Genomic DNA, 27,933 nt, shown 5'->3' on the forward strand with positions numbered 1-27,933 from the left:
CCTCCATCTTTGCTTTCTCAGGACTGTTTCTTTTTCCAAAAGAGGAGCTCAAAAGAGAAAGTTCATCTAGAAATCTCAAAGCCATGTCTCAGGTGAGATGATGTTTCCTCTCTTTCTGAAATAACTTTTTTTCATGGTGTATGAACATGAGCTTCACTGTCCTTTAACCTTCCCTGATATTGGGATTTGCTTCCATGAAATTAGTCTTCAGTCAGGGCCAGATTAGGCTGAGGCAGGCAAGTGGCATGAGGTGAAATATTTAAGGGGTACCCTCAGGGCTGTGCCCTCCTAAATTTTGCATTCTAGGTGCCTCACCTGCCTCACCCTGTATCCAGCCCTGTTCACAATTTCTCCATTCCAACCAAATCAACTTAAGCCTTCCCCAAGTGTACCTTCTGGTTGTACATATTCATTGGGTATATCATTCATCATCTCCTTTCTCAGTCTTCTCACAAACAAACTGCTGGAATAGAAAGGTATTGTCTTGATTTAAATGGGAATATATGGCTTGAATGAATTTAACTTGTCCTGATGCTGATTTGAGACCTAAGCTGTGAGTAGTCATGGAGCAGACGTGGAAAAACCTTGATGATCTCCGCTAGCCTAGGTTTTGCAATGGTACGTTGGGAAATAGAAGTGGTAGATCCCAGCATTAGTTTCTGGAAAGATGTCCTGCTTTGTGAGGTGTTTAGGATAGCAATTTGATTGCAGGCTTGTAAAGGAAACACGTTTTATGTTCCTCCTCTCTGATCTTTTTTCATTCATGTCTGCTAGCCATTCCTACAAATTGTGGGCTGCCAGTGAAAACCTTTCCAGTATTCCAATGCTGTTAGAGATTTGTTATTTTCTTTTTAGTTTCTTCTAATTTTTTATTTGCGGGTGCAGGAGAAGGAAATCCATATGCCAGGCCACTTTTGAAATATTCTATTGTTGATCAAACAGTACTTTGTCCTCTTTTCATATCTTTCAGAAAATTCCTCTTTAGCTCATCCACCAACCTTTAAAATACTGGTTTTCCTCAGATGCTAATTGGTTCTCTTCTTCTTCACAGTCCGTTTTTCTCTACGCACAATCAGATTCACTCTGAAGGCTACACTTAGTGTGATTCTAGTGACTCTCAAATACCCCTCTCCACTCTAGACCTCTGTCCAGAGTGTCAGAACCGAATATTCAACCTCCAGTAGCTATCACCACCTGTATGTTCCACAGACAAAGTACATTTCCAAAGCTTACCTCATTACTTCCTTTGGTCCAGCTTACATTTTCTTCCGTTTCCCATTTTCACTTTCTAGTCCCAGCAGCCATGCATTTGCCTATGCAGATAAAATGCCTGTATCTTTTCCACTCTACAGCCAATTTACGACCATCTCTGTTGTAATGGTGGTCATGTAGGAGCAGTTGTCCTCTGTCAGCCCGCTGACACTTCCTTAATCTAGGAGACATTTCTAACCATGGTTACTTAATTGTCATTTCCACCTAACATGTGATAAGCCTTTTCCAGTCTTCAGGAGTATTACCTCAAAACTTTTATCACATAACGTGTGTCAACTTATGTTTATTGATGTTCTTTACATTCCTTAAAGCAACAGACCCAAAGTAGGGCATGCCTCACAGTAGAATGTATAAGACGGTCTATTGGAAGGAAATAAAATACTAACAATTTACATTCGAGAGCAGTATTCATTAACAATGTAGATTTTCATAAATGCCTATTGATGGTTTATAAATAGCTACAATGTTGGGAATGTGTTCAGTATATCTTTAAGACCACTGTTCTGTAGGAAAAAAAAATCTAGTATCATGTCATAATATCCCCATTGCCTATCTCCATATACCTTTTCCTTCTTAGAGCTCAAAGACTGTTTCCTAACATACTGTGCCTTTTGCTATTTCCTGATTTACTAACTGGTTTTTTTCTCCCCATGAATTTTTAAAAGCTGATGCCCTGTATTCCTACAAAACAAATTCGTTGTGAGTACAAAACTTTTATGTCCTCAATGAAGCCTCGGAGTACAAAATGAAATTTTTCCTTGTTTTGTGACACTTTACCTTGTACGTATTTCTGTCATTGCATCTGTAAAACCTACTAAGTGCATGTATTTACATGTATGCCCCTCTCTTAGCCTATAACTTCTCATGAGCAGGGTCAGGGTTTTATTCATTTTGGTCTACCAGGCAACCAGTCACATTCAGGACAAATAGTGTGATCTCAGTATGTTTAGCATGAGATTATAAGTAAATACAAATGGATGTATTTTCAGAGAGAATTTTATGCAATATAAAACATAAATAAGGAAACTAGTCTGACCAGTAAACATTGTCAGTACTAGGTCTCCAATATCTAGTTCTCACACATTTCCGATCACTTCAGGATGAACTAGAGTATGCCCTTACAGGGATCAGTGTCATTCAAGGATGTGACTGTGGACTTCACCCAGGAGGAGTGGCAGCAACTAGACCCTGCTCAGAAGGCGCTTTACAGGGATGTGATGTTGGAAAACTATTGCCACTTCGTATCTGTGGGTAAGAAACACTCCTGAATCTTTCACTGTCATGCATCTCCTTCTAAGAATTCCTGAAACATATAGGACTTTGAATTTCAGGGATTAGAGGTGATTATTTTTTTGGCAGAAAATATTATATTGCCAGGCACAGTGGCTCACGCCTGTAATCCCAGCACTTTGGGAGGCCGAGGCAGGTGGATCACTTGAGGCCAGGAGTTCAAGACCAGCCTGGCCAACATGGTGAAACCCAGTCTCTACTAAAAAGTACAAAAATTAGCTGGGTGTGGTGGCACATGCCTGTAATCCCAGCTACTCTGGAGGCTGAAGCACGAGAACCACTTGAACCTGGGAGACGAGGTTGCAGTGAGTTGAGATTGCACCACTGCACTCCAGCCTGAGTGAAAGAGTGAGACTGTCTCAAAAAAAAAAAAGAAAAGAAAAGGAAAGAAAGAAAAGAAAATATGATTATATCATCACTTGTGTAGTGTAAGGTATTAACTTTGGTAAGACATTAATGTATACCTCATTTACTACCTTGAAGTTGTATCTTTATCTTACTTCAATAGTTTTAAAGTCGAAACAGCTTAGACCAAAAGTCTCATTTTCCATCATCAGGGTTTCACATGGCTAAGCCTGATATGATCCGCAAGTTGGAACAAGGAGAAGAGCTATGGACACAGAGAATTTTTCCAAGTTACAGCTACCTAGGTGAGTCTATAAATGAAGTCTAGTGAACATTAAATGTCAAGTAGTTGAAGCCTTTGAATGTTTTTAGGGATCTATTTTTGTTATTGTGGTAAAATACACATAACATTAAATATGCTATCTTAAACTTTTTAAGCATATAGTTCAGTAGCATCAAGTACATTCGCACTGTTGTGCAACCATCACCACCATCCATCTCCAGAACTATTCATCTTGCAAAACTGAAGCTCTGTACCCATGAAACAATAACTTCCCCTGGCCAGGTGAGGTGGCTCACGCCTGTAATCCCAGCACTTTGGGATTACAGCCAAGGCCAAGGTGGGTGGATCATGAGGTCAGGAGATGGAGACCATTTCTGGCTAACACAGTGAAACCCTGTCTCTACTAAAAATACAAAAAAATTAGCCAGGCATGGTGGTGGACACCTGGAATCCCAGCTACTCAGGAGGCTGAAGCAGGAGAATTGCTTGAACCTGGGAGGCGGAGGTTGCAGTGAGCCAAGATCACACCACTGCACTCCAGCCTAGGCGACAGAGCGAGACTCCATCTCAAAAAAAAAATAAATAAAAATAACTTCCCTTTATCCCTACTCCCTAGCCATGCCAACCACCATTCTACTTGCTGTCTCTGTAAATTTGACTACTCTAGGTACCTCTTGTAAGTGCAATCACATAGTATTTATCCTTTTTCTGACTGGCTTATTTTACTTAATGTAATGTCCTCCAGGTTCATCTATTTCCTTCATTTTTAATGCTGATTAATATTCTGTTGTATGTATATACTATATTTTGCTTATTCATTCATCCGTCAGTGGTCCGTTGGGTTCCTTCCATCTTTTGGCTATTGTGAATATTGCTGCTATGAACATGGGTGTACAAATATCAGTTTTAGTCCCTGCTTTCAGTTCTTTTGGGTATAATCTCAGAAGTGGAATTGCTGAATAATGTGGTAATTCTGTGTTTATATTTAAGGAGTCACCATACTGTTTTCTATAGCAGCTGCATCATTTTACATTCCCACCAACAGTGTACAAGGGTTCCAATTTCTTCACCAGCACTTGTTATTTTCTGTATTTTCGTAGTATCCATCCTATTAGTGATCTATTTTTAAAGACCTGAGATCTGTAAAGTGCCTATACATGGCTGACTTTCATGCCTCTAAAATGTAAATTTTAGGTATGAATATCACTCCCCATGTAAATCTTTTCGTTGTTTGCCTGGGTTTGTGGAAATATTGCTGCTATTACCTTACCAAGAATCTATTCCATGTTTTATAGGTATAATGTACATAGAGATGTAAAGTGTAAAGTTCTTTGAATTCTGACAGAAGGATAAACCCACGTATCTCACACTCCAATCAAGATAAAAGACAGTTTCATTAACCCATTAAGTTCCACCAGGCCTCTTCCAACTCAGTCCCTCCCATTAAGATAATCACAGTTGTGATGTCTACCAACATAGATTCATTTTGTCTATTGCAAACCTTTTTCATGTCTGCTTTCTTTCACTCAGCTTCATGTCTGAGAGATTTATACATGTTTCTGCATGCATAAGTAGTTTGTTAACTGTGGAACAGTTTTCCATTGTACGAGTATACCAGTTTATGCATCTCTTGTTGAAAGACATTTGGGATGTTTCTAGTTTAGACCTATTATGAACAAAGCTGCTATAATCATTCTTGTAAAAATATTTTTGTGGACATACATGTTTATTTTTCTTCAGTAAACACGTAGCAGCGATATCGCTGATTCATAAGGCAGATGCGTATTTCATTTCTTTAGAAACTACCATTTTGGTTTGGTAGTTTAGTAGCTAAAACTACTATACCATTTTAGACTTTCATCAGCACTGTATGAGAATGTTGATTGCCCCACGTTCTTTTCTACATTTTATGTTCATTTTGTCCATTCTGGTCATTTTGACCATTCTGGTTGTATAACTTCGCAGTTTTAATTTAGATTTATCTTACAACTAATAATGTTGAAAACTTTTTCAAGTGCATTTTATATCAGAGGCATCTGTTCAAGTGTTTTGTTTGTTTCTTTGTTCGTTTGTTTGTTTGATAATTTTTGAGACAGAGTCTCACTCTGTCGCCCAGGCTGGAGTGCAGTAGCACAATCTTGGCTCACTGCAACCTATGCCTCCCGGGTTCAAGCAATTCTCCTGCCTCAGCCTCCCGAGTAGCTGGGATTACAGGCGTGCGCCACCACACCCAGCTAATTTTTTGTATTTTTAGTAGAGACGGGGTTTCATCATTTTGGCCAGGCTGGTCTCAAACTCCTGACCTTGTCATCCGCCCACCTTGGCCTCCCAAAGTGCTGGGATTACAGGCGTGAGCCACTGCACCTGGCCCTGTTCAAATGTTTTATCCATCTTTTATTTAGGTAGTATGTATTTTTCCTTGAGTAGTAGGAATTCTTTACATACTGTGGATAGAAATCTTTTGTTCAATGTATGTATTACAAATATTTTCCCTAGTCTATGACTTGCATATTCATTTTAATGGTGTCTTTTGATGAACAGAAGTTTTTAACTTTGGTGAATTTCACTTAATCATTGTTTCTTTTATCATTAATTATGTGACCTCTCAAACAAATATTTGTCTTTTTCTAGGTATAGTGAGGATAATTCTCTTTTCTAGGTATGGTGAGGATAGTGCTCTGTAATTTCTTTGTATATTTTGCTTTTTTTTTTTTTTTTTTGAGACAGAGTTCCGCTCTTGTTGCCCAGGCTGGAGCGCAATGGTGTGATCTCAACTCACCGCAACCTCCGCTTCCCTGCAACCTCCACCTCCCAGGTTCAAGCGATTCTCCTGCCTCAGCCTCCCGAGTAGCTGGGATTATAGGCGTGCACCACCACGCCCCGCTAATTCTGTATTTTTAGTAGAGATGGGGTTTATCCTTGTTGGTCAGGCTGGTCTTGAACTCCTGACCTCAGGTGATCCACCTGCCTCAGCCTCCCAAAGTGCTGGGATTACAGGCATGAGCCACTGTGCCCGGCTGTATATTTTGCTTTTTAAGATTAGTTCTGTGGTCCACCTCATGTTTTGTTTATGATGTGAAGTAGGGTTCGAGAGTCTATTCTTCTATATGGTTATCAATTTGTTCCATCAGTATTTATTGACTGAATTACTATGGTGATCATAGAGAAAATTGATCACATTTGTATCAGTCTATTTTTGGACAATCTGTTGTTTCCTTGGACATAATTTAAGTCACATTGACAATACCACCTGGTCTTTGATTATTGTAACTTTATAATAAGTCTGGAAGTCAGTTAGCGTAAGTCCTCTAACTTTATGCTTTTTAAAAACTTTTAGGGCCAGGCATGGTGGCTCATGCCTGTAACCCCAGCACTTTGGGAGGCCGAGGCGGGCGGATCACCTGAGGTCAGGAGTTCAAGACCAGCCTGGCCAACATGGTGAAACTCCGTCTCTACTAAAAATACAAAAATTAGCCGGATATGGTGGCACATGCCTGTAGTCCCAGCTACTCGGGAGGCTGAGGCAGGAGAATTGCTTGAACCCGGAAGGCACAGGTTGCAGTGAGCCAAGACCGCGCCATTGCACTCCAGCCTGGGCAACAGAGTGAGACTCCATCTCAAAAAAAGCAAACAAACAAATGAAAACAACTTTTAGCTATTCTATGTCATTTTCTTCTCAAATTCATTTTGGAATCAACTTCTTGATTTCTTTAGATAAACGTGCTAGGTTTTTTATTAGTGAGAGCTAATGTCTTAGCAATATTGAGTCCTGTGGTTCATGACAATGCTATAACTTTCCATTTTAGTTAGCTTCTCTAATTCCTGAAAGCAATTCCTATTTTTGGTATAGAAATCTTACATATTGCTCATTAAGTTTCTCTCTAAGCTTTTAATATTTCTGATTCTATTGTACATAGTAAGAGTGGCTGGGCATGGTGGCTCACACCTGTAATCTCAGCACTTTGGGAGGCTGAGGTGGGTGGATCACCTGAGGTCAGAATTCAAGACCAGCCTGGCCAACGTGGCAAAAACCTGTCTCTACTAAAAGAATACAGGTGGCACACACCTGTAATCCCAGCTACTCAGGAGCTGAGGCAGGAGAACTGCTTGAACCCGGGAGTCGGAGGTTGCAATGAACCATTTCTTTCTTTCTTTCTTTCTTCCTTTCCTTTCCTTTCCTTTCCTTTCCTTTCCTTCCCTTTCCCTTTCCCTTTCCCTTTCCCTTTCCCTTTCCCTTCCTTTCCTTTCCTTTCCTTTCCTTCTTTCTTTTTTTTTTTTTTTTGACAGTGTCTCTCTCTGTCGCCCAGGCTGGAGTGCAGTGGCATGATCTCGGCTCACTGCAACCTCCGACTCCCGGGTTCAAATGATTCTTGTGCTTCAGACTCCTGAGGAGTAGCTGGGATGACAGGTGGGCACCACCATGCCCAGCTAATTTTTGTATTTTTTTAGTAGAGACTGAGTTTCACCATATTGGCCAGGCTGGTCTCGAACTCCTGACCTCAGGTGATCCGCCACAGCCTCCCAAAGTGCTGGGACTACAGGCATGAGCCACTGCCCCCCGACTATTTTTAGTAGTTTTAATTACATATAGTAATTATAATTTTAACCATTAGTAACCTTTTAACAGAGTAAACTAAGAAGTAGATAGTTGTGAATTATCTGCTACATACTAGCATTCTATAACAGATTGGCAAATGTTATGAATACATCATCTTACAACTTTATAGATACATATTTCCTCATAGTACAATTTTTTAGTGTTTAACAGATCCAAAGAGCTTATCCAAAACTCTTATTCCACTTATATTGACCTACACAGATAGTATTTATTATGTTTGGATTGTTCATGAAAATTTTATAATACATTAAACAAAACTAGCCAGCCTCTCAAGTCATTTCCTTGTTAACTGTTTTTATAGCACATACAAGTAAAAGGCAATTAAAGGCAAATCAAGAAAACCTGAAAAGTTAAATACATAGGTTTGTTTGTTTTGTTTTCCTGCTGTGTTTGATGTATATGAAATAATAGATATCAGACAATTCATTTCTACTATATGTTTATTTGTGCATTTTTTTCTTAAGTTGAATTTATAGTTTTTATAGTTTTAAACATAGTAAATATAATAGTAACTTATTTGACTAGTAAAGCCAAGTAGAATAAAAATATGTGCTCATAGATGCACCTCTTTTTATTAAACCAACAATATTAAACTCATCTTAGTTATCAAAATTTTACCCCAAGTCACATGAACTTGAAAGGCCTTTGGGTTAGTTCCTACATTTCTGGGGGTGTTAGGAACATTTCACTTATATAAACACTCATTTTTCTCTTAAAACAATTTGAATAAACTCTTTAAGGGAGTTTATAAATTAATTTGGCCAAGTGTTGTGGCTCACACCTGTAATTCCAGCTACTCAGGAGGCTGAGGCAGGAGGATCGCTTGAGGCCAGGAGTGTGAGGCCAGCCTGGGCAACATAGCAAGACCCAGTCTCTGAAAAAATGTATCCCAGTGCAGTGGTGTGCACCTGTAGATCCAGCTATTCAGAAGGCTGAAGCAGGAGAATCACTTAAGCCCAGAAGTTCAAGGCTGCAGTGAGCTATGCACTACTGCACTCCAGCCTGGGCAAGAGTGAGACCTCGTCTCTAAATAACTAAAATGTTTAAATAATTAATTAATACCATCTAGAGGTAAGAAAATATCACATATACATAACATACATACATAGACATACATAGGCGGACAGACCCAAACAGAGATCTTATAACTTTCATTCTAAAATGTTAGCCAGGAGTCAGTAAAATAGTATTACACTCTCATCTTTGCTCCACTTTATATTTTTATCTGAATAGTGTTTCTGACACATGGAACAAGGTTAGCTGTTCAATATGTGGGCTAATGCTTTTTAGCCAATATTTGTAGAGATTTTCAGATTTTCATTTGCCCTGTTATGTAATCTTATGGAAGCTGTGGACTAAATTTTAGGTGAGCAACTGAGCTATCTGGATGTCTCCAAAGCTTGGCTGAGTGAATAAAATATCCACTTTGTTTCCAGTTAGCCCTTTTGTCCTTCTCAGCTGCAGGTAGTTTCTTTTGGGGGCCCCTTGAGTGCCCCCAATGTGGGGCAGGGCACCTAAAGTTCAAGTGACTGTAGGGGCTACAGTGGGAAGGGAAAGGTCAGCAGGGTGGACAGAGGGATGGAGGAGTTCTGAAGGGCCACCTGTCAAAGGATTCAGGGGAACTGAAGGGACAATCAGAGGTGGTGAGAGGAGGAAGGAGGAGTGGAGCAGTGGGAAAAGAGAGGTCTTACAGGAGCCAGTGTAGAGAATCCTTAGTAAAGTAATGCCAAGAAGAAAGGAAGTAGAGGGAGTTGGCAGAGCATATACCAACAGGGGAACATACACCATCAATCAACTGAGAAGTTCCCATGGGAGAAACAGGATCAAACAGGCCTCACAGAGTCAGGAATTTTCTAGCCCTGAGAGTCAGGAAGTAAATTCCCACCCAAAAGAAAAACCCAGGAAGAAAGACTTCTAGCCCAGCAGGTACCTTTTAAACAAAGAAGCCGGTGCCTGTAACCCAACTTCATATAAACAAGAGGAGCCTAGGATTCTAACCCAGCCTCTAGAGTATGCTCAGAATCTAAGGAATCAAAATGTTGTACCAGCTTCAATGGGAGTTTGTCCAGAGTAGTGGACCAGGAGTCTGACTCACCAGTGGGTCCCCAGTCAGTCAGGAGTGAAGACCAAGGCTCAAAAGGTGTGCACTTGGGGTCCTGGGTGAGATGCCAAGGGGTCCAATAATCAATCTGTTCCTATCCAAGCTGTGTTACTATAAATACTAAAGAAAAACATTATCCTGACACTTGTAAGGCAGATCTCAGGGACTGCTACAATGGGGTTTTGAAGTACTGGGGAGAGAATGGGCCAACTCTGAATACGATAAGGAAGAGAGGAAATTTATAGTTGTGGGAGGGGGCAGTGATGGGAAATTACTGAGTGGATAGGGTAATCTTGCTTAGCTGACCTACCAGGATTCCTACTGAAAGCAGGTCATGGTGATCAGATATCACCTGGAGGGGTTGGTGAGGAGAGATATCAGATATTGAGAGTGGGGGATTCCAGCTAAACCGACTTGACAGAATTCTCGCTAAAACTGGGCCCTTCGGTGGACATGCCCAAGGACTGGGCCTAATTGGTTAAAGTTTTATGGTATTGTCCTGAGTCCTGGGATGCAGTCTTTACTCCTAAAACGTGGCCCTTCTGGAGTCTCGATGGAAAGACCAAGATTGTTGTGCTTTGTTGCTTTGTTTTGTTTTCACCTAGCCCAGGACAAAAATGAATGGACCAGGATTTTTTGTTCTTTTGTTTTGTTTTGTTTGCCTGTTTTTCCACTCTGCTTTAAAATTTTCAGTGCATTTAAAAATACCAGAAAGGGACTGCCCCATATTGGTCTTCATGAATCCATGCTGAACTACTCTCTTTTATTATAACATTTCCAGTTTGCTTATATTGGGACCAAGGTTTTAACAAGGTTCTTGTTGTCACAGGGCTAGAATTGCAAACTCTTTTTCAGAGCTAAACAGCCACTGAACTCTTTGCTCAGTTCCTTCAGGGCTCTAGCTTTCTTTCCTCTTTGGGCTCCTTGCAATCTTGCCCTGCAGCAATGTAGTTAACCAAGGCTTTGAGGATGGCTTATGCCAACTTTGGGGCTCTGCTTTTTTGACTTCTCCATTCCCAGATTTTGTCTTCAAGTTAGGGTAGCTCTGAACTCTAACCTCTGATTCCCCTATACAGATGACTTGTGCTTTCTCCTGGAGATCTATCTCTTCTGTGCTGCCTGAACTACTGAGAACATATACCTGGCTAAATGTAGCTCTTATGCAGTGTGGTTTCTTTCTTTCAAAGATTGCATCCACTTCAGCTTCTGGCTACTTTTGGTCATTCTTTAGTGCCTTCAAATAAGTGGGTTTTTTTTTTATCAGCTGGAGGATTGTTTTGATACAAACTTCTTTGTCTTACCAAAATCTAGATGTCAGCCGGGCACAGTGGTTCATGTCTGTAATCCCAGCACTTTGGGAGGCTGCGACGGGAGGATCACTTGAGGCCAGGAGTTCCAGACCACCCTGCCCAACATGGCAAAACCCCATCTCTACTAAAAATACAAAAATTAGCTGGGCATGGTGGCGCCCACCTGTAATTCCAGCTACTCAGGAGGCTGAGGCACACAAGTTGCTAGGACCCAGGAGGTGGAGGTAGATCGCGCCACTGCACTCCAGCATAGGTAACAGAGCAAGATTCTGTCTCCAAAAATAAATAAATAAATACATAAATAAATCTAGATGTCCAGACCAGCAGTTCTCAAACTTTCTAGTCTTAGACATATTTAAAATCTTAAAGTTATTAAGAACTTAGAAGAACTTTGTGCGCATATGTCTGTGTGTATGGCATTGTAACTGGCCTAAGTCCAGCTGCTCACTGCTTAGAGACCAAAAACATGAGAAGTGAGGAATGGTGAAAGGAAAGCAACTTGATTGATTAAATGCCAGCAGATGGGAGTTGGCAAGGCTTCTGCCTCAAAGAAGCCATCTCTACCTTTTGGGCTGAGTGAAGGGGGTTGTGAAGGAAAGGATGTGGAAAGGGTGGTGCAGGAGGGCACAGGCCTGTGTGTCTTGTTCCGATGCTTATCTTGAGTAATTGCTCTTCCGGAGGTCCAGTTTGCATCATTCTGACTTTGGCCTGGTAGTGGTGGGCTAACTATTTGTAACCCCCACTAAGTGGGGAGGATTCTGCAGCTGGGTGTCTCTGCCTGGTTTGTTTCAAAATTGGCCCCTGGAATTCCTAAGCAAGCACATAATTAGATAAGTAAACACTGTTCACATGGAAGTGCCAGGTGAGAAGGTGACAAAGCGTTTTAAAGTGTCTCAACGTTGAAAGCAAGAAAGGAAAAAATGTTTTAAAGTATGTTTGAGGCTGGGTTACTTGGTTACACTATTCAGAAATTAAAAGAGTTTTTTTTTTTTTCTTTTTGAGATGGAGTATTGCTCTGTTGCCCAGGCTGGAGTGCAGTGGCACGATCTCGGCTCACTGCAAGCTCCGCCTCCCGAGTTCACACCATTCTCCTGCCTTAGCCTCCTGAGTAGCTGGGACTGCAGGCACCCACCACCATGCCCAGCTAATTTTTTTGTATTTTTAGTAGAGACAGGGTTTCACCGTGTTAGCCAGGATGGTCTCTATCTCCTGACCTCGAGATCTGCCCGCCCCGGCCTCCCAAAGTGCTGGGATTACAGGAGTGAGCCACTGCGCCTGGCCTGAGAGAGCCTTCTTAAACCTATCAGAAAAATAAAAATCATTGTTTAATATCTATCTCCCTCATAGTTTTCACTTTCTTCTCTTTCCCTGGGCAAAGAAAGATTATTTCTTTGTTTCCTGCCTGAGTCTCACATCCCATTCTCACCATGAGACCTACCACCAGGTTCCAAAATCCATATGCCTGGGACCAAAATGGTAATTTGAAGATCACAATTTCTTTCCAGTAAACTTTTATGTTTCATATCATAATGCTGAGCATCATTCTTGATATCTGCCAGGGATAGTTGTGGGATTTGGGTGAAAAATACTAACTCATTCTCATCCTATTTCCCTGAGTACCTTTTCACATCTTGTTTGCTTTTATCCCCTTTATGTACCTTGTCTAGGACAATAAATATTTGTTGACTAAATGAATCTTGTTTCATTAGGCCTCTCATTGGTCCTTTCTGATGTGTCCTTAAAGCATTTTATTCACTCTCAGTTCTTGACTTTATGAAAGTCCTGCAAGCTACAATCATCTGATGAATTCTCAAATTGATTTCCTTGTTTTATGTGAATTGCTTTCAAATAGACATTTCAGCCCATTTCTCCCTTGTCAACTGTAGTGGTATATTTTAATCTGCCAACAGAAATATGACTATCAATTGTCCTATCCTTTTTGGTTTACAATATATCAGAAATAATAATTGCTATCTTTACTCTTATTTGTTTATTCTTTTGTTCCCATAATCTTTTTTTTTTTAATTGAGATGGAGTCTCACTCTATTGCTCAGGCTGGAGTGCAATGGCATGATCTGGGCACACTGCAACCTCCACCTCCCGAGTTCAAGTGATCCTCTCTCCTCAGCCTTCCGAATAGCTGGGATTACAGGCACGTGCCACCACGCCTGGCTAATTTTTGTATTTTCAGTAGAGGTGGGGTTTCACCATGTTGGCCAGGTTGGTCTCGAACTCCTGGTCTCAAGTGATGTGCCCACCTTCGCCTCCGACAGTGCTGGGATTACAGGCATGAACCACCACGCCCGGCCTGTTCCCATAATCTTATTTATTATTGTTTGTTTCTGTATTCTCTTGTTCCCATAATCAGCCCAAGTAGTATAAAATTGAGTCCATCATCTCTGTTATACTTTCTTAATGATCTCTCCACAATGTGTTATATTATCTCACTCTGTAAAATATCTTTACATCTTCTTATATTCTGATTTGCCATTGACAGCTTCCAAAATGAGAGCCATATCATTTCAGGTGTGGGCTACTGTAATTAATCTTTGGATTTGCCATGATTTTTCCCTAGTTTTTTTTTTTTTTTTTTTTTTCCAGTTTTTTCTGTCATTATGCTAAAAAGATAACACTTTTTAATATGAACTTTAAATCCCTCTGTTTTCAAGGGTGACAGGATCATACCCGATTTGGTCATTCCAAATGTATTTCTGTCTGTGACTCAGAACTTTCGATAATCTCTATTTGTTCAAGACTACTAAATATACTTCATATACAGTCAGCCCCCCGAATTCATGGCTTCCACATCAGCAGATTCAACCAACTGTAAATAGAAAAAAATACACACACACACACACACACACACACAAAATACAAATAAAAATCAGTATAGTATAACAACTGTTGGCATAGCATTTGCACTGTATTAGGTATAAGTCATGTAGAGATGATTCAAAGTATACAGGAGGATATGTGTAGGTCATATGCAAATACTACACTATTTTATATGAGGGACTTGAGCATCTTTGGATTTTAGTATCCTTGGGGATTTCGGAACCTGTCCCCTTAGATTGGATAATGAGGGAAAACTGTAATTGGTTTTATTCATCACAGCTGGACCTTTCCTTATATGATGGATACTATATGTTCCATATATACTTGCAAAATTAGCCAACTAGGAAGTTAGAGGGTACAGTAATCCATCCAAGACTGCCTTTACTTCTGATAGCAGCTGTTAATTCAGGGATCCTCAAGACTGCCCTTAGGTTCGATAATTTTTTTTTTTTTTTGAGAGATAGTCTCACTCTGTCACTCAGGCTAGGGTGCAGTGGCGTGATCTTGGCTCACTGCAACGTCCGCCTCCCAGGTTCAAGCGATTCTCATGCCTCAGCCTCCCAAGTAGCTGGGATTATAGGCATGTGCCACTACACCCTGCTGATTTTTGTATTTGAGTGGAGACGGGGTTTCACTATGTTGGCCAGGCTGGTCTCAAACTCCTGACCTCAAGTGATCCACCCACCTCGGCCTCCCAAAGTGCTGGAATTACAGGCATGAGCCACCGGTGGCACCCGGCCAGGTTTGATAATTTGCTGAAAAGACCCATGGAACTCAGTGAAAGCTGTTATACTCACAGTTACAGTTTGCTACAGGAAAAGATTGAAATCAATCAAGGGAAGAAGGAAATGGGCAGAGTCTGGGAAAGTGCCAAACATGCAGCTTCTAGTCGCCCTATCGCCGTGGAGTCATGGATATCAATCCTGGCAACACTATGTGACGATACATACAGAGTACCACCAACCAGCGAAGCTCAGCACAGCCTCAGTGTCCAAAGTTTTTATTGGGGCTCCATCAAATAGGCCTGATTGCCCATGTGGCTGAGCTCAGTTTCCAGCGCCTTAGGAAGCTGAGCTGATGCTTGCTGCATGACTCAAAGCCCCTACCCTAAATCATATTGTTACTGTCTGGCCAGCCAAAGACTCCCCAGCAAACAAATAAACTCCTATTAGCCATGACATTCAAAGGCCTTAAAAATTACCACCCTGAAACTGAAGTTAAAGGTTCGGCCTCTCATTTGGCAGGGTTAAATTCTTTACCACACAATACTATATAATATATCATTTAGCTAAAAAATCAAGTTTCATTTCCTCCATGAAATACCTTGACTACTGTATAGACTATGTCTATTTCTGTTTTTTATGCATTCCATTGTACTTGACATCTGTAACATGTGAGCAGACACGTCCTCTGATATGATCTAGTAATTTGGTACCTAATTCAACATTGTTTTATATGACATTTCTTTCTCTATTTGGTTATAATCATTCCCCAAAATAAGGTCCTCTCATTTGCCTTTCCTTACTGCAGCTTGTAACAGAGGCCATGTATCCAGTAGTTATCTTATTGATTGTCGTGCCATGCAAGCGAAAATGTCTTTCTCATCCATTTAGAAATCATTTACTACTAAGTTCTTTTTAGGGGTACCTGCCAGCATTTTATCCCCTAACTTCAGATAACAGTGTGTAAACGTATACTGAGAAGATTTTAGAGAAAATCGTCAATAAAATGTTGACCTCCAAAAACATGAGTTTTAGTTGGGAAAGCAATACTGTATTATCAAATTGAGGACTTTACATAGAATGATCGTGTTAAAATCTTAGGCCGTTGGAAAATATCTGGAAGTGAATGTTCCAGACCATAATTATATTACAATTTCAGACAGACGGGATACTGAAAGGTAGAAAAACTATGTGAAAGCTTAGCCGGGAGCAGTCGCTCACTCCTGTAATCTCAGCATTTTGGGAGGCCAGGGCAGGTGGATCACTTGAGGCCAGGGGTTCAAGACCCACCAGGCCAACACAGTGAAACCCCATCTCCGCTAAAAAATACAAAAAACATCAGTCAGATTTGGTGGCACACACCTGTAGTCCCAGCTACTCAGGAGGTCGAGGCATGAGAATCACTTGAACCTGGGATACTAAGGTTGCAGTGAGCCGGGATTGTGCCACTGCAATCCAGCCTGGGTGACAGAGTGAGACTCTGTCTCAAAAAAAAAAAAAGGGGCCGGGCGCAGTGGCTCACACCTGTAATCTCAGCACTTTGGGAGGCCGAGGTGGGTGGATTACAAGGTCGGGAGTTCGAGACCAGCCTGGCCAACATAGTGAAACCCTGTCTCTACTAAAAATACAAAAATTAGCCAAGTGTGGTGGCGGGCACCTGTAATCCCAGCTTCTCATGAGGCTGAGGCAGGAGAATCACTTGAACCTGGGAGGCGGAGGTTGCAGTGAGCTGAGACCACGCTGTTGCACTCCAGCCTGAGTGACAGAGTGAGACTTTGTCTCAAAAAAAAAAAGGAAAGACTATGTGAAAACTTTATGAAAAATCGGATAGTAGCATATACTTGGAGGTGTTTGAAGTTCTTAGGGAGGCAATGTAACTCCAATTACCAATACAGATTAGTTTTACGTGTTCAAACTGCACATAAGTGGAATTGTATAATATGTATTCTTTTTCATAAAGCTTACACTCTGCAAAATATTTGAGATTCATTCTTGTTGTCATTGTGTATCAGCATTGTTTCTTCTTGTTGCTGAGGTAGTATTCTATTGTGTAATACATGACACAGTTTTACCTGTTCATCTTTTGATGGATATTTGGGCTGTTCCCAGTATGGGGCTATTATAAATAACAATGTTAATCATAGGTAAGATGAATCCATCTTTAAATTGCCCTCCCAAATATGGATGGTAGTAAGGCAACAATAGTAAGATATACAATAATTTTTTTTAAATAGTTAAGATTAATCAGTGCTCTGCACATACATTGAAGAATCCAGTCCTTTACAGCTCCAGTAGGGAATAGCAGAGTTAAGGTAGGTGATGTATTGGGAGGAAAACTCAAACCTATCTTTCCCTAAAGCTGAAAAGAAGTAATTTGGCAAATTTAAGGAATGAAGTTAGAATTGTTGGTCAGGAGAATTTCATTATTGACCATCTCTGGCAGAATAAATTGAATAAATTGATGGTAACAGCAATCAGAATACTACAGTTTCCGGGCACTGTGGCTCATGCCTATAATCCCAGAACTTTTGGAAGATCATTTGAGGCCAGGAGTTCGCGACCAGCCTGGGCAACATAGGAAGATCCCGTCTGTGAAAAAAAAAAATCAAAAATTAGCTGGATATGGTGGCACACATCTGTAGCCCCAGATACTTGGGAGGCTGAGGTGGGAGGATTGCTTGAATCCAGGAGATCAAGGCTGCAGTGAGCCAGGATCAAACCACTGTATTCCAGCTTGGGGGACAGAGCGAGACCCTTTCTCAAAAAAATAAAAATGAATTTAAATATATATATATATATATATATATATATATATATATATAATGTATACACAACAGTGATTATATTCATGTTGGAAATATATTTTGTCTTTTGCTGTATTTTATAATTCCTCATGGGAATATGTTTTCCAGATTCTCTGCTTTCAAGAGAAAATAAATTACGGTTATATGGACATCTAGGGCCTAGACTGTAGACTAATGTTTCTGTAAACACTAGGAAATGAGCTGAGAAAGTTCATTTACCATTCATGGGCTAAATGCAAGTGAAGAAGAAAGAATTGGAAGCACTTATAACACATTTAGTCGTGAGGGGATAAATGTATAGCTTTTCATCTCTTCCTAAATAATTTTTTGTCACATTGCCTACTGTTCAGCACCCTTGGTAGGCTCACTTCAGCAGCTTTGAATCTTCCATTCCAAGTAGAATCCCTCTTTCTTCATTCTTTCTCTTCTGCTCACTTATCTTTTTTTTTTTTTTGGGTGGGGCGGGGGGACAGAGTTTCGCTCTTGTTGCCCAGGCTGGAGTGCAATGGCACAATCTCGGCTCACTACAACCTCTGCCTCCCAGGTTCAAGCAATTCTCCTGCCTCAGCCTCCTGAGTAGCTGGGATTACAGGCATGTACCACCATGCCCAGCTAATTTTGAATTTTTAGTAGAGACAGGGTTTCACCATGTTGGCCAGGCTGGTCTCAAACTCCTGACCTCAGGTGATCCGCCCGCCTTGGCCTCCCAGAGTGTTGGGATTACAGCCATGAGCCACTGCGCCCGGCCATCCTTGTGTTTCCTATACCTTCTCAGTGCAGCTTATATTTATAACATGCCAAAGATATGAGTGTTTTTTGCTTATGCCAGTTTTTCTTCATTTTAACAGAGTAGCAAGATTTGTATTTATGTTTATACATTTTCCCTACCAAGAGGTAATTTATTCTGGCCTTTTTGTAGATCACGGTAGTGAGATAGTCCCACCATAGTTTGTCTGTATGTATACCCAATCCATAGCATTTATGTGAAGACTCACAGTGTTAATGGTATTCTTTTCTAGAAGAAGATGGGAAAACTGAAGATGTCTTAGTGAAGTTCAAAGAATACCAAGACAGGCATTCTAGACCCCTCATATTCATCAACCACAAAAAACTAATTAAGGAGAGAAGTAATATTTATGGTAAAACATTTACTCTAGGCAAGAACCGTATTTCAAAAACAATACTATGTGAATATAAACCTGATGGAAAAGTTTTGAAAAATATTTCAGAACTAGTCATTAGAAATATAAGCCCCATAAAAGAGAAGTTTGGTGACAGTACTGGATGGGAGAAATCACTCCTCAATACCAAGCATGAGAAAATTCATCCTGCAGTGAATCTCCATAAACAAACAGAAAGAGTTCTCAGTGGTAAACAGGAGCTTATTCAGCATCAGAAGGTTCAAGCTCCAGAGCAACCATTTGACCATAATGAATGTGAAAAATCCTTCCTGATGAAAGGAATGCTATTTACACATACTAGAGCTCACAGAGGAGAAAGAACCTTTGAATACAATAAAGATGGAATTGCCTTCATAGAAAAGTCAAGCCTCAGTGTCCATCCAAGTAATCTTATGGAAAAGAAGCCCTCTGCCTACAACAAATATGGGAAATTCCTCTGCAGAAAGCCTGTTTTTATTATGCCTCAGAGACCTCAAACAGAAGAGAAACCCTTTCACTGTCCTTACTGTGGGAATAACTTTAGAAGGAAGTCATACCTCATTGAACATCAGCGAATTCACACAGGTGAAAAACCTTATGTTTGCAATCAATGTGGAAAGGCCTTCCGTCAGAAGACAGCCCTCACCCTTCATGAGAAAACACATATAGAGGGGAAACCCTTTATTTGTATCGATTGTGGGAAGTCCTTCCGCCAGAAGGCCACCCTCACTAGACATCACAAAACACATACGGGGGAGAAAGCCTATGAATGTCCTCAGTGTGGAAGTGCCTTTAGGAAGAAGTCATACCTCATTGATCACCAGAGAACTCACACAGGAGAGAAACCGTATCAGTGTAATGAGTGTGGGAAGGCATTTATCCAGAAGACAACCCTCACTGTTCATCAGAGAACTCACACAGGAGAGAAACCCTATATTTGCAATGAATGTGGGAAGTCCTTCTGCCAAAAGACAACCCTCACTCTCCACCAGAGAATTCACACGGGGGAAAAACCCTATATTTGTAATGAATGTGGGAAGTCCTTCCGCCAGAAGGCAATCCTCACTGTTCATCACAGAATACATACAGGAGAAAAATCCAATGGGTGTCCTCAGTGTGGGAAAGCCTTCAGTAGGAAATCAAACCTCATTCGCCATCAGAAAACTCACACAGGCGAGAAACCATATGAATGTAAACAGTGTGGGAAGTTCTTCAGTTGTAAGTCAAACCTCATTGTCCATCAGAAAACTCACAAGGTAGAAACCACGGGAATTCAGTAAGTAATGTGGCTTTTTTTGTAAAAAAATGTTAAGTCATAGTAAACCCTGTAGATGATGTTGCTTGCAAGCGTAATATCCAACAGTTTAAGGTACTATACCACATGGTAACCTACTGTTTGCCAGCCTGTAAAACACACACACACACACACACACACACACAAATATTATTAGACAAATTAGATGACAAAAATCATTAAGAAGTCCAAACTTTTTTTTTATTACTAGCTTCAGCAGACAAAAACTTCCTCTGTCAAGGTGTTATAAACATTTAAAATCACATTTTCCATTTCCATACATATCTTTTTGTTCATCAGTAATAACTAGTTGGCCAACTGACTGTGGTCCATGGACTACACAGTGAGTAGAGGTTCTTTAAAAGAAGGAGGTATGAACTGTATTTCTCATTGCAAATACAAAATAAAAATTAGTTGTTACCTCCTCACAGTTGACCATGATTCTGACTTCTAACATTACAAATTAGTTTTTACTATTATAAACCTTTCTATAAATTGGATTATATATCATGTATTCTTTCATATACAGCTTATTACCTTCATCATGTCCGTGAGTCTAATCATTAGTACGTGTGGCAGAAGTTTATTTATTTTTATCCAGTATAGAATTCAATTATATGATTATATCACAATTTATCCATTCTGCTGTTGATGGACTTTTACATTGTTTACAGCTTAGGGTCATAATAAATCATGCTTCTGAGAACATACTTGTCTTGGTGTACATACATGTATTTCTCTTGTGTATATACTTAGGAGTGGAATCGCTGGGTCTTAGAGCATGTGTGTATTCAGTCAGATACTGGCAGACAATTCAGAACTTTCACCACATGAGATAATTGACACTGAAGGGAAACAGCTATAAATTTTATCAATATGGTGCTGGTTCAAACCAGAGAATTCATGCTGCAGGGAAACTCAATCAATGTTATTGTGAAAACTGGGAATGTGAATGTAATATATGTAGAAAAACATTTAGCCACAGCCCAAATCTTCCAGGCAAATGTAATAAACGTGACATTGCCGTTAGCCACAGTAAATGCCTTATTTGAACTCAAAAAGTCTACTAGAGGAGAGGCATCCAGCATTTCCCTTGTTCAACATCAGAGAATTCCAACTAGAGAAAAGTCCTGTGACTGTGTTGAAGTTAGGGCGTGGGGAGGAATATAGTCTTTACCTATGGTCTGTATCTACTGGTCAGGTACAAATGATGAATATGGAAAAGCTTATAGCCATCATTCATATATTATACTACACCAGGGAATTCACATAGGATGAGAACTCTTCAAATGAAATGATTGTAAGAATGACTTTAACTGTTGCTCATTTCTTTTACACCATCAAAGAATTAATACCAAAGAAAGGAAGATTACAAGGAAACAAATGGGTCTTGGGACTTTTTTTTTTTTTTTTTTGAGACAGAATCTTGCTCTGTCACCCAGGCGGGAGTGCAGTGGCATGATCTTGGCTCACTGCAGCCTCTGCCTCCCAGGTTCCAGTGATTCTCCTGCCTCAGCCTCCCGGGTAGCTGAGATTACAGGCACACGCCACACGCACAGCTAATTTTCGTATTTTTAGTAGAGACAGGGTTTCATCATGTTGGCCAGGCTGGTCTCGAACTCCTGACCTCAGGTGATCTGCCTGCCTCGGCCTCCCAAAGTGCTAGGATTACAGGGACTTTTAACTCTGGGGAAAGCTCTCTTTCATGAAAGAAGTCTAGCCATACCGAGACCATAATGCTAGGAAGTCTATGTGTAGGCCCCCTGGTCAACAGCTACAGCTGAGCTCCCAGCCATCAGCTAGCATCAGCTGCCAACCATGTAAGTGAGGCCTCTTGGACATCCAGTCAAGCCTTCAGATGACTGTGGACCCTGCTAACACCCAACTGGTACCACAAATGAGACCTCAAGCAAGAACTGCCCAGCTGAGGCCTTCCCAAATTCCTGGCCAACAAAATCATCAGGCTTTTTAACTACAAACAGTTTTATTTTTTATTTAATAAAAAAGTTTTTATTTAACTTGATTGTTTTATTAAAAGGGAAAAGTAATTTTTTAGTATCTGTTAATATATAATAAAAATAAAGGTATAAGCCTGGGCTTGGTGGCTCATTTCTGTAATCCCAGCACTTTGGGAGGTGTTGGGAGGATCACTTGAGCCCAGGAGTTCGAGACCAGCCTGGGAAACATGCCAAAACCCCATCTCTACAAAAAATTAGCCAGGAATGGTGGCACATGCCTGTAGTCCCAGCTACTCGGGAGGCTGAGTGGGAGGATCACTTGGGCCCGGGAGGCGGAGGTTGCAGTGAGCCAGGATAGCACCACTGCACTCCAGCCTGGGTAACAGAGCGAGACCCTGTCTCATAAATAAATAAATACATAAAGGTGTAAATATATGGATTCTAGAGTCAATGAGCAAAGGTATTGTTGTTACTAATAGGTGATTTTGGCATGAAGAAAAACTGGCCATAAAATACAGTTGAAGATTTGGCTGCATTTTTGCCTTACGATTACATACCTTAATAATTACAACTCAATTGAGGGGTCCATATATATTCTTTCTCATTTTCTGGCAGTAAATCATATTCATCATATACTTCCCAATTTTGCACACACAAAAAATGAAAATAGCCCCCAAAAGAAAGGCAGGATAATGCGATCTATCCTCAAAAGACCCCGTGCTGTCATTTCTCAACAAAGGCGCAGAGAGAAATCAAGGTATGGAATCTAATGAATGTCCGTGAAGGAGGTACTTTTGAATGCTTTAAAGAAAGTCTAAATAAAGTTGCGTTTTCTTTTCTTTTTTTTTTTTTTTGAGACAGAGTTTCACTTTTGTTTCCCAGGCTGGAGTGCAATGGCGCAATTTCGGCTCATTGCAACCTCTACCTCAAGCAATTCTCCTGCCTCAGCCTCCCAAGTAGCTGGGATTACAGGCGCCCACCTGTATTTTTAGTAGAGACGGGGTTTCATCATGTTGGCCAGGCTGGTCTCCAAAGCCTGACCTCAGGCGATCCACCCGCCTCAGCCTCCCAAAGTGCTGAGATTACAGGTGTGAGCCACCGCACCCAGCCGAAATTGTGTTTTCTAAAGCTATTTACATATAAGCTGCCGCTCCTTAGGAAAATTTGGTCCTGTGGTTTATATTTTGGCATGAAACAGCATTGGGCTGTATTCCAGAATCCTGCTTGAAGATTTCTTTTGAAGAAATCAGAAATTTTCTTTGCATTTTTTTTATTTTTTTGAGACAGGTTCTCAGTCTGTCACCTAGGCTGGAGTAGAGTGGTGCCATTATAGCTCACTGCAGACTTGAATTCCTGGACTCAAGCAATTCTCCTGCCTCAGCCTCCCAAGTAGCTAGGACTACAGGCAGGCGCCATTCCTCTCAGCTAATGTTTTTATTTTTTATACATATGGGGTCTCGTTGTGTTGCCCAGGCTGGTATTGAACTCCTGGCCTCAAGCAATCTTCCCTCTTCGGCCTCCTAAAATGCTGGGGTTACAGGTGTGAGCCACTTCACTCACTTTAGAGATTTTCACTTTATGAATTGATAAATACAGCATTGCATCACTTAATAGGGATACATTCTGAGAAATGCATCATGAGGCAGTGTCATGATCGTGCAAGCATCACAGAGTGCTGATACAAACCGAGATGGTACAGCCTACTAAACACCTAGGCTATATGGTAGAGCCTGTTGCTCCTAGGCTACAAATCTGTACTGCATGTTACTGTGCTGGATACTATAGGCAATTGTAACACAATGGTAATTATTTGTATATGTAAACCTATCTAAACACAGAAAAGGTACAGTAAAAATGTGGTACTATAATCTTTTTTTTTTTTTGAGACAGAGTCTCACTCTGTCGCCCAGGCTGGTGTGCAGTGGTGTGATCTCGGCTCATTGCAACCTCCGCCTCCTGGGTTCAAGTGATTCTCCTGCCTCAGCCTCATGAGTAGCTGGGACTACAGGTGCACACCACCAAACCCGGCTAATTTTTGTATTTTTAGTAGAGACGGGGTTTCACCATGTTGGCCAGGATGGTCTCAATCTCCTGACCTCGTGATCCACCCGCCTCGGCCTCTCAAAGTGCTGGGATTACAGGTGTGAGCCACCATGCCTGGCTGGTACTATAATCTTATGAGACCACCATTATATATGCAGTCCATCATGGACCAAAATGTCATGTGGTGCATGAGTATTTTTCATCTAACTTATATATTGCTCAATGAAGTTTGGGCAACTCTAAGGAGCAAACATGTTTATAGAATCTAAGTCAACTTGACCTAAACATATACGACAAAATAGGAGTGATTTTACAAATTCATATTTTGTAGACCTAACTGCAAGGTCATAAGGCATATGCAAAATGAGTTCATCAGTTCAGAGGACTAACAGGACTCCACAGAGCATACCCAGGAAATGTTTTTACTTAGAAGCAAAGGATGTGGCTCAGCAAAAGAAAGGGAAGGTAAGCATTAGGGCTCAGAATCATCTAGCTGCACATTCCTCAGTGGTTTTATTCACACACAGACCGCACACTGTCTCTGAACTGAAGCACTAAGACCTGTATCAAACTTGATTTGGGGAGAGCTGACAGCAGAACTTCTCTACATGGGTTTTTTTGTTGTCATTGTTTTGTTTTTTGAGACAGAGTCTTGCTCTGTCACCCAGGCTGGAGTGCAATGGTGCAATCTCAGCCCACTGCAACCTCCGCCTCCCAGGTTCAAGCAAGTCTCCTGCCACAGCCTCCCTAAGTATCTGGGATTACAGGCATGTGCCACCACAACCAGCTAGTTTTTGTGTTTTTAGTAGAGACAGGGTTTCTCCATGTTGGCCAGGCTGGTCTCGAAGTCCTGACCTCAGGCAATCCTCCGCCCACCTCGGTTTCCCAAAGTGCTGGGATTATAGGCATGAGCCACCGTGCCCAGCCACTGCATGGGTATTTATGCTTCTCTGTTCACTGGTTACATAGTCAAGCCAGGCTATCTAACTGGTTATGTAAGTTTAAAAAAGTTAAAAAGCCATCATAAACAAATTGGCTCTGGGAGTCTCCCAGGGAATATCAGACTTTAACTAGTACCTTGTATAGCTCACTGGCCTTATCCCAACCAAGAGTCAGAGCCAGACATCTGGGCATCGTGGAGATAATTTTAGAGCTTTGCAGTCTGACTGTAAATCAGCTCCATCTTATAAACATGGTTCCTATAACTGCTGTGTATTTCCTGATAATGTATGTGAACAAGCATATCTCCTCACCCTCTGTGTCCCCAGTATCAGATAGTGCACAGTACATCTCAAATGTGATCATTTCTTGTCAGCTAATGCTTGAATTTCTCCACTCAGTTTCTGGTCTAGCAATAGAGCCAGGCTTGCCATGTCCTGCTTCACAAGTAATGTGCAACAGCAAAAGCACAGGCTCCAACACTAGTCTACAACATGCACCTGGGATGTTCTAGATATTTATCAGTTTATAATCAGGCTTTTTTTTTTTTTTTGAGACAGTGTCTCGCTCTGTCGCCCAGGCTGGAGGCAGTGGCTCGATCTTGGCTCACTGTAAGCTCCGCCTCCTGGGTTCACACCATTGTCCTGCCTCAGCCTCCTGAGTAGCTGGGACTACAGGCACCTGCCACCATGCCCAGCTAATTTTTTGTATTTTTAGTAGAGACGGGGTTTTACTGTGTTAGCCAGGGTGGTGTCGATCTCCTGACCTCATGATCCGCCCACCTCGACCTCCCAAAGTGCTGGGATTACAGGCGTGAGCCACCGCACCCGGCCTATAATCGGACTTTTCAAAACCCTAGATATGTGACAATACCAAGTGCTGACAAGAATGTGGAACAACTGGAACTCTTTCTTTTTTAACTTTTGTTTTAGATTCAGGAGTACAGGTGTGGATTTGTTACTGGAACTTTCATACATTGCTAATAGGAAAGGCAAAATGGTAAAGCCGGTCTGGAAAACAATATGCCAGTCTCAAAAAGTTACACATCCAATATGACCCAGCAATCCCACTTATAAGTACTTATCCTAGAGAAATGAAAAATTATGTGCACACAGAAACCTGTACATGAGTGTTTGTAAGTATTATTTATAATTAAAAAAAAAACTAGAGACAAGCAAATGTTCTTCAGTGTGTAAATGGATACACTGTGGTACATTCCCAAGATGGAATTCTACTCAACGATAACAATAATGAGCTACTGAAACATGCAGCTACATAGATGAACCTCAAATGCATTACGCTAAAGGAAAGAACCCAGTCCCAAAAAGTTACATACTGTATGATTCCATTTATATGACATGCTGGAAAAGGTGAAAATATAACAACAGAAAACAGATCAAATGTTGCTGAGTGTCTGGGGTGGGGTGGGGTCTGAATACAGAGGGGTTGCACGAGGCAATTCTTTGAGGTGTTGGAATTGTTTTGTATCCTGCTTGTGGTCATAGATAAAAAATCTATGCATGTGTAAAAAATAGAAGTATACATACAAAAAAGTGAATTGTACTGTCTGTAATTTTTTTAAATAAATAAAAATCCCTAGCTCTGCTTCATCAGCAGCAGTACCTCCTGATTTGTGTCTTCAAAGATATCTTTAGACTGGCTTCTGAATTACATATCCAGTAGTAGTCAGCCTACACACACACAGGCCTTGCCACATGGTCTCATCATTGTTCCGCAGGTCAACTCACAACACAAGTAACACATTACAGTTAGCCCGTATTTGTAAACTCCATCCAGATGATCAGCCCCCCATTGGAGTGGCAGGCTTCATGTCTGGGGGTGGCACACCTATGGAAGATGGAACTCAGTGTGTGTGCTCTGTTGGGCGTCTCCATCACATCTAACAGTGGCTGACAAACCAGCCAATACATAGTCATCAGGGCATATGCAATCATTGGGAATAATACTAAGTGGGGCCAATTCTGCTATCCCTTGGTTCTCAGTGGTATTCTTAATTCCAACACAGTGCCATTTAAAGGTCCCTGATTGTATATGTGCAGTGGCACAATCTCGGCTCACTGCAGCCTCCGCCTCCCAGGTTCAACCAATTCGTCAGCCTCAGCCTCCCAAGTAGCTGGGATTACAGGCATGTACCACCATACCCGGCTAATTTTTGTATTTTTAGTAGAAATGGGGTTTCACCATGTTGGCCAGGCTGGTCTTGAACTCCTGACCTCAAGTGATCCCACGCCTCAGCCTGCCAAAGTGCTGGGATTACAGTGTATGTTTTTATTGCTGCATAATGATTGTACATATTTATGGGATATGTGTGATATTTTGATACATGCATACAATATGTAATAAATCAGGGTAATTAGGATATCCACCTCAAACATTTATCATTTCCTTGTGTTAGAAACATTTCAAATATTCTACCTATTTTGAAATATACAATAAATTATTAACTATAGTCATCCTACTATCCTATCAAACACTAGAACTTATTCCTTCTATCTAACCATATATATATTTTTTTGAGACAGTCTCGCTCTGTTGTCAGACTGGAGTGCAGTGGTGCGATCTTGGCTCACGGCAACATTTGCTTCCTGGGTTTAAGCAATTCTCCTGCTTCAGCCTCCTGAGTAGCTGGGACTACAGGCGTGAGCCACCACGCCCAGCTTATTTTTGTATTTTTGGTAGAGATGGGATTTCACCATGTTGGCCAGGATGGTCTCGACTCTTGACCTCGTCGTGATCCACCCACCTCGGCCTCCCAAAGTGCTGGGATTACAGGCATAAGCCACCGCACTCGGCCCTATCTAAGCATATTTTTATATCCATTAACCAACCTCTCTTCACCACTAGCCACTCACTTCCGAACCTCTGGTAACCATCATTCTACTCTGACCTCCATGAGATCAACTCTTTTAGCTCCCACTTATGCATGAGAACATGCCAA

General features: G+C 41.1%; 1 protein-coding gene across 5 annotated transcripts in view; it reads left to right on the plus strand.

The window, feature by feature from the left end:
* The window catches only part of ZNF382 (zinc finger protein 382), a 28,802-nt gene extending 2,218 nt beyond the window's left edge, over window positions 1-26,584 (plus strand). For 2 of the 5 annotated variants that reach the window (NM_001398490.1, NM_032825.5), the window contains exons 2-5: window positions 22-92; window positions 2,372-2,523; window positions 3,120-3,212; window positions 18,600-26,584. In NM_001398490.1, coding sequence (NP_001385419.1) covers window positions 2,385-2,523; window positions 3,120-3,212; window positions 18,600-20,020 — 1,653 coding nt within the window. In that variant the 5' untranslated portion in view covers window positions 22-92; window positions 2,372-2,384 and the 3' untranslated portion in view covers window positions 20,021-26,584. Of the gene's footprint in view, window positions 1-21; window positions 93-1,937; window positions 1,972-2,371; window positions 2,524-3,119; window positions 3,213-18,599 lie in introns of all 5 variants that reach the window. The other 3 variants (NM_001398492.1, NM_001256838.2, NM_001398491.1) reach the window with 2 other exon arrangements.
* The last annotated feature ends 1,349 nt before the right edge of the window (window positions 26,585-27,933 follow it).

This window comes from Homo sapiens, chromosome 19 (assembly GCF_000001405.40).
Source record: "Homo sapiens chromosome 19, GRCh38.p14 Primary Assembly".
NCBI lineage: Eukaryota > Metazoa > Chordata > Mammalia > Primates > Hominidae > Homo > Homo sapiens.